This window comes from Homo sapiens, chromosome 3 (assembly GCF_000001405.40).
Source record: "Homo sapiens chromosome 3, GRCh38.p14 Primary Assembly".
Taxonomy (NCBI): domain Eukaryota; kingdom Metazoa; phylum Chordata; class Mammalia; order Primates; family Hominidae; genus Homo; species Homo sapiens.
Genome location: NC_000003.12, coordinates 100,693,248 through 100,704,841, shown reverse-complemented (window position 1 = coordinate 100,704,841; position 11,594 = coordinate 100,693,248). Strand labels below are relative to the sequence as shown.

Genomic DNA, 11,594 nt, shown 5'->3' with positions numbered 1-11,594 from the left:
AGAGTCTAGGAATCATGCATATCAGAGACAAAATCAAACTCTGGGTACTTGGAGACACTCATGTCTCTAATCTAACATTTATGCCAAGGATCCTGCTTTTAGTCCCTCCATATAAATGCATAATTAAACAGCATTCTCAAAAAGCCATTTCAATAAAGAGAGACTTATAATAAAAGATGCAAAGTAAAACCACAATGAGATACCATTTTTCATATATTCATCTGAGAAAAATAAAATAGTTACATAACACTTTGTAAAAAAAAAAAGTATGTGGCAAAATAGGCATTCATGCTTTGTTGTGGGGACATTAGTTTGTATCAACATCTAAAATGCCTTATGACACAACAATTTCATTTACAGTGTACCAGAGAAACGCTTGCACATAAGAGCACACCCATTGTTTTGTTTTCAAATGAAAGACTATAGAGCAATTAAAAGAAATGTACACATGCATACAGTTAGATATCAAAAACATTTTGATGAGTGCAAAAAGCAAGTTTTAGGAAGTTACGTTAGTGTGAAGAAAATAGTTAACATAGCAGCCTGAATCTGCTGTCCTCAGAAAGGCCCACTTGCAAGATTGGCCGTTGGCTGGTGTCTGAGAAATTGGATTTTAGGAGTGTTCTCATCCCATATTTGATAAGAATGGTGAACTGTGTCTAAACTGTTTGTACAATGTGATTTATGCAGAATACCTGCTTTCTTGAAGTCTAGAATTTTGGTACATGCCAGGCAGTGGGTGCCTATGTGACCAGGCCCCAATAAAAACCCTGATTAATGAATCTTTCATGAGATTTCCTGGTAGACAATATTTCACATGTTGTCACAGTTTGTTGCTGGAGAAATTAAGTGCATCACGTGTGACTCCACTGGAAGAGAACTCCTGGAAGTTTGCTCTGGTTTCCTCTGCACTTCTCCCCATGCAACGTTTTCCTTTGCTGGTTTTGCTTTATATCCCTTCGTAATAAATAATAGCTATGAATGTGAGTCTTTGCCGAATCTAATGAGTGCTTCTAGTGATTCATCAAACGTGGGAGTGGTCTTAGGGACCACTGACACAGTTCCTTATACCATTTATGTAAAAGAAAGTACACAAGACTATGAGTTGCTATGAGTGTATAATGTATGCACATATTTCTTTAAAATCTGAAAGTTTACACACAAAGCTCATTACAGTGGTTAATTCTGGGGAGAAGAGGAAAAAGACAAGAGGGGCTTGGATTTGGTGGTAATGGTCAAAGGGGACTTTAGCTCTATCTGGAACACTCTAATTTGTTCTTTGTTGTTGGGTTTTTTGTTTTTCTTTTAAGGAAAACATATTCATGTGTTTCTTAGATGAGAAAATATTTTAAGTTAATTTAAGAACAATTTCAGCCTGCAGTTAGATTCACAAAATTTTAGAGATAGTAGGAAATTTAGAGTTCACCTAGTCTTGCCAGTTCCTTTATAGAGACAGAGCCTCAGGTTCTGATGCCTGGGTAAATGGGGTAAATGTCTTGCCACAAGTCACATAACTTATAGCTGAGATGACAACTCCCAGTCCGGAATTCTTCTTTACCCTGCTGTTGCCTACTGAGTACAGGGCTAGAAATACCATTTTCTTTTTTTTATCACAAAGGTCCATAAAGTCTCAGTTGTTATATCGTGGCTTCATAGCAGCTTATATTAAAGTTCAGCAAATTATAAAGGTCACACTTCCACGTGTACAAAAGCACCAACTTGCAAGGTTGCAAGAAAAATACAGATAAGAATTGAACTATAGTTCTATGAGAAATACTTTGTAAAAGATAGCAGCGTTAAGGCATACCACTCTGCGTTCCTTTTTCTTCTGTTTGTTAAAGGGTTAACATATATGGAATTTTTTTAGAAACATGATCAGTGGCCTACAAAAAATATAAATAACCTATTTTCAGTTTCTGAAATACTTCACAAATTGGACTTCAAAACTTTCATATATTGCTGTTGGGAGCATAAAATGGTACAAACATTTTAGAAAACTGGTGGTTTCTTTTAAAGGTAAATACACACTTACTCTATGACTCAGCAATTTCACTACATATTTCTTATTTAATTTTTTTTTTAGATTCAGAGACGGGGTTTCACCATGTTGTCCAGGCTAGTCTCAAACTCCTGAGCTCAAGCAATCCTGCCCTCCTAAATTGCTGGAATTACAGGCGTGAACCACTGCACATGGCCAGGTATTTCAACAGAGAGAGAGAATAAACATACCCACACAAAGACTTGTATAACAATGTTAATAGCGCTTTAATTTCACAATAGTCAAAACTTGGAAACAACAAAATGCCCATGAACTGGTGAATGCATAAACAAATTGTGGTATATCCAAACAATTAAATACTACTTAGCAATAAAAAGAAACTAACCACTGATACACACAACAATATAGATGAATCTCAAAAACATCCTGAGTGAGAGAACCTAGACTCAGAAGAGAACATACTGTATGATTCGTGTGATATTCTGGAAGAGACAGAATGGTGTGTATCTGATGGATCTGATGATAGAAAGCAGATCAGTGGTTGCCTGGGGATTAGAATAGGGGAAGAAGCATGAAGGAATGTTATGCAGTCATGGAAACATGTTTAATCTTGTCTGGCACAGTAGTTTTACAGGTGTATGAATTTGTTAAAACTCATCTAATTGTGCACTTAAAATGAGTGTATTTTATTGTATATAAATCATACATCAATAAAATTAATTTAAAAATGAAAAAAAGCAAACCCTCTACCAAAGCAAGCAAGCAAAAGGAAAACTAATTTCACCAGTCAAAATTAAGGAACACAAATATAAGACAAAAGACAAAAAAAAAAAAAAAAAAAGGCCCAGCCCAGTGGCTCAAGCCTGTAATCCCAGCACTTTGGGAGGCCAAGGTGGGCGGATCACGAGGTCAGGAGTTCGAAACCATTCTGGACAATATGGTGAAACCCCGTCTCTACTAAAAATACAAAAATTATCCAGGCATGGTGGCGCGTGCCTGTACTCCCAACTTCTGGAGAGGCTGAGCCAGAAGAATCGCTTGAACCCAGGAGGCGGAGGTTGCAGTGAGCCAAGATGGTGCCACTGCCCTCCAGCCTGGGCGACAGAGCGAGACTCCATCTCAAACAAACAAACAAACAACAACAACAAAAAACTCCTCACTGATCCACTTTTGATACTAAAGTTTCCTGTGGTGCATTAAGTGTGTCTTTATGTGTACATAGTATTGTGTAACTTCAGAGTAACACTGATTATACATAACTTTTCAGTGTATGCACTTAGCAGACTTGCAGGCATGTATGCAAATATACTGAATTTACAAATGAGATATAACAATCTCATCTTGGTCTCCGTTCAACATAGTTTGCCCTCTGATTTGGTAATATATTCAAATGGACATTTTCAAAGAAACTTAATGCCAATTTCATGTACAGTCAAAATAATTGTATTTTCGCCAAGAAATTCTGGTTTAATTGTTAAGAGATGGATTTGTGTAATATTTCTATATTTACGTTGAGTGTTAAAAAGCTTACAGTCTAATTTGTGGCTGATTCCTAGCAAAATTACAAGATTATGATTCTTGGGTCTCACTCTCATCCCTGGCTTCATACTTTTTGTTTCTATTCTTATTTTCCCTTACTCCTGACTTCTTAATCAGTTTTTCAGCAGCTTTTATATCTTTTTTTCAAGTACGCATTATAACAGGTACATAAGTAAATGAAGTAATGTAGATGACACACATGTAACGTTACTTTGAACCTCCTTGTGGTTTTTAAAATTTTTTCTAATTAATAATTGCTAATAAAACTTCTCCAAGATTTAGTGTTTTCTTTTTAAGAAAAGGCGGGTGGACACAGAGAGACAGAAAACATTTGAAAGGAAAAAATAACTTTGTCATGGAACCCTACTCAACTGCTATCTGATGTAAAGAAGGGTTAGAGATGTCACGTGTCATACATAAGTCATTTGATCTCACGTAGCATATTTATGCCACTGTTCTACATTTTAGAAGTTTCTGCATAGTTCTTAACATATTTCTTAATCTAACATGAAAAATTATTCTGCCTGGGTAAGGGCATATAAACTCAGAAAATCCTAAACGCTCTATTAATCTTTTGGACATTTCCAATCAAATCCAGAGTAATCATTTCATTATTCTAAAAAGAGAAGAAAACAATAAACTGGAAGAAATATTTTCACCAAGTGTAATAGTTAAAAGGCTATGATCTATAATAGATAAGAAACACAAATTTCTGAGAAAAAATTACAATACCTCAATTGAAAATGGGCCAAAATTATAAATAAGAAAATACTGCAACAAACAACTGTATTAAAAAAAGTTTATGGTCCTCCAAATGTTGATGACATTATACATTCTTGCAATGTTTTCTAAACAATATACCAATATACACTAGGGTCTTACATTTATCTGGTCAAGAGAATTTGGCACATTTATCTGAGTCAAGAGAATTTATTTTAAGGAAATAATGAAAAAGAAAGGAAAAAATACATGTACTAGTTTATTCATCACAGTGTCACTACATGTTAAATATTAAAATGATCTAAATAGACAATACTAGGGAAACAACTTAGTAAATTATATCATATTATGTAATCATTAAGAAGACTGCATAACTAGGTAATAAGTGAAAATCAAATCATGTATTGTCATTAGTTATGTAAAATTCTTATGTTTTCAGACAAACAGCATAGAGATTATGGAAAAACAGACAATAGTGAAAGTTAGGGAATTATGGATTTTGCTTTTGTAAAAGATACGCTTTGTGAATATTGCTTTTTCTGCTCCCAGCAAATTTCAAATGTGTAATACACCGTTATCAACTATAGTCACCATGCTGTACATTATATCTCCAGAACTTATTTATCCTATAACTGAATGTTGTACCATTTGACCAACATCTCCCCTTTCCCCCAACTTCCCAGTCCCAGTCCATTCTACTCTCTGTTACTGTGAGCTTGACTTCTTTTTAGATTCTACATATAAGTAAGATCATGCAGTACGTTTCTTTCTGTGTCTGGGTTATTTCACTTACCATAATATCCTTCAGGTTAATCATGTTATTACAAATAGCATTACCTCCTTTTTTAAGGCTGAATAGTACTCCATGGTGTGTGTGTGTGTGTGTGTGTGTGTGTGTGTGTGTGTGTGTGCCTGTATCATAATTTTTTTATCCATTCATCCTTCAATGGACACTTATGTTGTTTGTATATCTTAGCTATCATGAATAATGCCACAATAAACGTGGGAGCAGAAATATCTCCCTGAAGTACTGACTTCATTTCCTTTGGATATATACCCATCAAAGGGATTGTGGGTCATATGGTTGTTCTCTTTGTAATTTTTTGAGGAGCATTCATACTGTTTTCTATAGTGGGTATACCAATTTCAATTCCCACCAACAATGTAAAAGGATTCCCTTTTCTCCACATCCTAGCTAACGCTTGTTATCTTTTAACATTATTGATCATAGCCATTCTAACAAGTATGAAGTGATATCTCATTGTGGCTTTCATTTGCATTTCCCTGATGGTTAGTGATGTTGAACATCATTTCATATAACTGTTGGCAACTTGCATGTGTTTTTTGGGAAAATGTCTACTCAGGTCCTTTGCTCATTTTTTAATCAGGTTTTTTGTTTTGTATGGTTTTGATTTTGGGTTTTTTTTGCTATTGAGTTGTATGTGAATATTTTTTAAAGCTGAAATTGTTACAGCAGTTTCCTCTTTCAGTAACCCCCCTCCCCGCAACCCCCAGTGTGGAACAGTCTTGGACCTCATCTGAGGAGCCATAGGAACTAAAAGGTTACATTAAGGGGTTTCCACAGAGCCAGAGAGCTCCGGTGTTTGACAGACTGGTAAAATCCAGTTGACACTTCTGTCTCAGATTTCCCAAACACTTACAAAAAATGCCAAGCTCTTCTGAATGAGGCAATGATAAGCTGATAGCAATGAGCTTGAGAACGATCTCCCTTTGTTGGTGACAGGAAGAAAAAAAAAAGAGAGGCAAGATAAACTTTAAAATAGGAAAGATAAGAGAAAAAGCAATCCAAACTCTGACAATTTAACAGTGAACTCTGAATTGTCAATTAAGACTCAGAAAAGGAAATCCAAAGGTCAGGACGGTTTGCTCCCCAAAGAAACTGCACATGCCACCACAATAAAAAATAAAGGCTATTGGGCACTGTTATCACACAAAATAAACCAGAAAACACAGAAAGGCACAGCTGCCCATATACAATATCACAAAAATGAGTTCTGCAGTGCCTTGAGTCTCCCTTTCCTGCAATCTCTTGTTTTTAAAGTAAGTCACCCTTCTGCTCTTCTAATTTCTCTTTTTGCTCCTCAACTTCCAAGGCACCAAATAATTTCTTGGTCTCCCTAATTTCTTGATCTCCCTACCGACCCTATTCAAACCCTGCTCAGACAAGGGAGATGACTGACGAGTTTTAAAGTAGTTCTTTCCCAGGGAGTACTTGTACTTTGTCAGGGAGTGTAGTAGAAGTTCTTTAATGTTTTGATGCCAACATCCCTTCCCTGATATAATTGTCCTTTCTCCAGTCCATGCTATCCTATCAACCAAGTCATCTTCCATCTGTCCACTTCATAGTGGGTATGTGACCCAAGCTGGAGCAATATTCCCGGAACACAATGCCTGTGGGTACACTACCCAAGCAAGATATGCCAGTCCTGGGCCTGTTTGCCTTCAGTTCTCTCCTCTCCTTGCACCTGTTGTATTGTGTAATACAGGGGGACTTGGCCCGGGCTCAGCAGGCTACAGCCAATGGAAGATGTTGATGGGAGGCTGCAGGACAGGAGGAAAGGGAAAGCCAGGATTCTTCTTCGGTTCTTCTTTCTGGGTAGAGCAGGCTGCCTCTTTTTGGCTGCAGCTCCCACCATTGGCCCGCCCTGGTTTCAGCCGCAGGCCTGGCTATGGAAATTCTTCTTACTTTATCTCTCTGGCTTAAAAGAGGTTTCTGCTTTCTTATTTTGCTAATCTCTACATTTCCTGCCTCATTCTCCAATTTGTCTCTGAGCTTGTTAAACACCACAAAACCAACTGTCTGCTTTAAAATTTTATTTTAAATACTTAATGTGCTTTCTGTTTTCCTGCTGGAATGATAACTAGAATTAGAGTCATTCCATGAGATTTTACTGTGGATACTAAGAGAAAAAAGGTCTCTTCCTGTTAGATCATTAGGCTATAAGATTAGGGATGCCAATAGCCAATTTCCAGCCACCTAAACCCAATTTTAGAATGACATCAAACACAGAAGCACACAGACCCAGGAAACAGAGAGAAAAAGAATATCTGACACATTCTTAGCACTCCCTGTGAAAGGATAGAGTTCCCTGATCCCCGTCACAGGGCATGTGACAGGGGTGTGGCTCGCTGGGCTCCCTGCCTCCTAGGCGGAACATGCAGACAGGCAGGTGAAGAGGTCGTGGGGAAAGCCTTTGGGCCCCAACCCCACAGCACCGTCTATGGGTGGGTGTCTGCCACTCCCAGAGCCCAGGTGGTTGTGTGTTACAGTGTGCGCTTTCAGCTTTGCCATCTGCAGACAGCTTGTGTTAATCAGTTCAATAAGCCCTCTGCCTTATCGCCAGGGCAGAGGGCCAGTGTGATAGCTTTCTGTATCCTGAGTTCTTACCCAGTGTACCGGCAAAATCAAATCACACGTGGGCTTGAAGGATGAGTGCAAGGTTTTACTGAGTGGTGGAGGTGGCTCTCGGTGAGGTGGATGGGGAGCTGGAAAAGGGGAATGGAGTGGGAAGGTGATCTTCCCCTGGAGTCTGGCTGTCCTTGGCCAACATTCAGAAGCCTCTTCCCTCCTTCTCTGCCACACCACCCCACCATTCTCCACCGCTCTTTTCCCCTGCTCTTCTCGATGTTCAGCCCCTTATGTGTGTGTCGCTAAGGTCTCGGGTTTATACGGACACAGGATGGGGGTCGTGGTGGGCCAGAGTGGCCTTGGAAAATGCAACATTTGGGCATGAAAACAGGAGTGCCTGTTCTCACTTAGGTCCATGGGAGCAGACCCCAGGGTGGAGCCCTCACCAGGGACCCTGCCCTTCTCTACTCAGCACTTCCCTGCCCCCACCCATATCACTTGTTCTAAATAGACCTAAAGTTAGCATTATCATATATTTCATAACTCAAACCATGACACTTGAAGGTAAAAGGGGCTGCTAGTAATGCTTAACTCAGAAAAACAGGCACAAATTGGGACTTGCCCAGGCAAACTAAAACACATAGTAATCCTACCAACTCGGTCCTTGGACTTTACATTAACTGATCCATTAAATTACCTTCACCTTTAACCTAATTTGAGTTGGGTTTCTATCATTAAACTGAAAATTGCTGACCGGTGCATGAGACAATGATTTAAATCAAAGGAATTATTTCCTAGTGGTAGGATTCATTTCAGGGTAGACAGAAGAATATCCATGTTCACCTGAATTAGTCACCACAATTGCATGTGGAGCTTGCACATTTATAGTACAGATATTTCAGCAACATTTTATGGAATTTTAGTTACTATGCCCCAAAAGTGCTGAAAAACGTGCAAAGAAAACAACTGTAATTACAAAGGGAAACACATACACTTACCCTCAGGCTAAATATGGCTCTTTGGTGATTTTTTTTTTTTAACATTTAAAGTGGCCCTAACTTAAGCTTAATTTTCATCTGAATACAAATTTTGAGTCAACCACATCTTATCATTTTCCCTGTGCCCAGCTACTATTTAGGTGCAGCCCTATGATGCCACCAAGAACACTGGCTTTTGAGGTCTGCTTTTATTCTTTATTCTCTTCCCTTTACTTTTTTCTGTTCTCCTATAAATATAGGCTCTTGTTGGCTTGCCCAGGAACCCAAAAGTCTTCTGCAACTATTTCTCTAGAAAACACACATTCTTTAGGGAGTGCCAAGCCCACATGACATTTGTTAATCTCGGAATTCCGTGCACTGACAGCAGCTGTCTTGTTTATGGCAAAACAGAAAACAGCAATTTAAAGACTATATATCCTAAGTCCAGTGGGAATGCTCACCACCCAAATAGAGGCCATTTTTTTTAATGAGGAAGCCATTCATAATTCAAGTGTTTGACTTTCCATGAGCAGTTAAATCTTTTAAAAGCCATAAATGATGATTATGACTAACTTCTCATTTTGGGGGTCTCAGTGCCACTTCAGTGAAAGAGCAAATATATTAAGAACTGGAAGGAAATATCCATTTAGTAACAAACTAACCTGTCTCGCTGCCCATTTCTTACAGAGCCAATTCTCCTGGTCACAAAACACACTTTTTTTTAAACAGAAAAAAATATCGCTTTTCAAAGTTTGAATTGGTGCCAAATTCTTCATTGGAAATAAAAGTACAAGCACATACGACTGTAAAATATTCAGAGGTCAAAAGTTTAATACATACAAGCAAATCCCCACACACTGTTCATCAGGAGTCATTTTGTTCTGGAAGGTAAAGTTTTCTCTTTGTGTCCTTTATAGTAACTTGTAAAAGAATTTGTTATAGGTTCTACATTTTTGTCAAAGTGTGTCACAAAGATTTAACGATATAAGGAACAATGGTACTCTTGTATGTTGTGTGAAATTCTTCACCTTATTCAAGTACAAATCTATTGAAAAATAGAAAAACTACCAAGTCCATTATGCCGAATAATAATAAACAACAGGTTTTATCTAATTCTTAATCCTGAGCAAAATACATTGAGGAAGACTTTCTGAGAGGACTGGGAAATAAAGGAGAGAAACAGATAAAACTCAAACGAGGTGATTAAAAAGACCACAACAGGTAAGTTTTACTGTCTAGATGCTTTCCTTTGCATTGTCACTTTCAGAGAGTGTGATTTCCTCAGTACTCGGAGAGGTTTCCAGTAGCCTAAAGCGTTCATGTAAGGTTGGCAATGACCTGAGGAAATTATACATCTTTACACGCAGCCTCGGCCGCGTCACTGAAGGCAATGACTTCCTTCTCCCAATAGACGATAGCAACATCAACACTTTGGAAGCTTCACTCTGGAAGACTTTTGTTCTAACAGTGTACAGGATAAAAATTTGCAATCCCTGCAGATAGAACAAAAGTTTAATGTTGGGTAAGTGCTGAGATACAGTATCAAGGAAGACATTTTATTTCACTCTGCCACCCAACCTTCTCATCTGCACGGCACTTCCCCAACTTGAATTTGCCAGTGTGCAGCTGCCATGCACTTTTTAATCTAAGAGGGTTGAGGCAAAGTTTTCCCATATACAAAGACCTACATGTAACAGTACAATAGCAGATATAGAAGACCCGAGTTCAGGTCCTGGGTTGCCACTAGCTGGCTGTGTAAATTTGCTTATTTCATAATCTTGATAATCTTCAACTTCCTGAAGGAAGAAGATTAACTATGAAATACCTAATTCTTCTCCCAGTTCTAACATTCTGTGCTTCCATATTTCTTGGAGTTATAGTAACATAGCTAGAAATTTGTGCACTTAAGGACAAAAAAATGTAAAGCCCTTCTAGTCACTGCTTTTCTGTACTTCACAGATGAAGACCAGATGTACATGAGAAATTGAGCCACAAAACACTGAATAATATTTTCTATATGTTTCCAGTAAAAACTGCCATTTATAGAAGTCATATCAGTATCAGACCCTTGCTTTTCACTTAATCCTCATCATTTGATCATTCTCATGTAATCCTCACATCAACCCAATACAACAAGCTTTATCATCCGCATGTTTCAGATAAGGAAACTAAAGTTCAGATAAACTAAGTAGTTTGTCCACGATCACCCAACCAGTACTCAGTGGAGTCTGGAATTGAATTCTTACATCTTTAGCTCCAAAACCCCTCCTCTATCCAATATACGGTGCTGCCTATACTGTTGCCTGTAACTGTAACAGAAAGTGACTGCAAAGTGTATCATAGCTTTTAAGATGCTGCTGTTAATTCTTTATTAATATCCTTTGTGGAAATGACAGATGAAATAGCATCTGTAGTTAAGTTGATAATATTGTGCCAATGTCAGTTTCTTGATTTTGACAGTATACTATGGCTGTATAAGATATTATCATTTGGGAAAGCTGGACAAAGAATATGTGGGAGCTATACTATTTTTCCAAAATTTTTTATTAAATCATTTCAAAATGAAAAGGTATTTTTAAAAATAAATATCCTTGGATGTCTCCCACATTAGCATCTATAGGGCCCCAACCTTTTTAAGAGTTTATTTTTGGAATCATATCCTGTGAGTACTGTTATTGGAGACTTCTGGTACTCTGGAAAGACCCTTATAGTTTGACTAAAAAATCAATAAGTGTTGGCAAGAGACAGACTTGTTCTCTGGCCAAAAGTAGAAAAAGTAGCTTGATTATTACTCAACAGGTGGTATCTAACACATCAGAAGAAAGGCCCTATGACAGTGTGTGCTTGGAGACACAGGTTTCAGAAGGACAGGAGTGGTCATTGGCCATCCTGATTGTTCAAGGGAGAGAAATTTATTTGGGGCACATGAGAAATCCAGTCTCTAGAAAACCATCTTTTTTGTGGCATACACTATTTCATCTGATTTTTC

At 38.0% G+C, this 11,594-nt stretch overlaps 1 protein-coding gene across 3 annotated transcripts in view; it reads right to left on the bottom strand.

Annotated features, from left to right (window-relative positions):
• ADGRG7 (adhesion G protein-coupled receptor G7) overlaps window positions 9,363-11,594 on the bottom strand; it is an 85,879-nt gene continuing 83,647 nt past the window's right edge. For all 3 annotated transcript variants that reach the window (NM_032787.3, XM_047449088.1, NM_001308362.1), the window contains one exon: window positions 9,363-10,098. In NM_032787.3, coding sequence (NP_116176.2) covers window positions 9,841-10,098 — 258 coding nt within the window. In that variant the 3' untranslated portion in view covers window positions 9,363-9,840. The remainder of the gene's footprint in view (window positions 10,099-11,594) is intronic.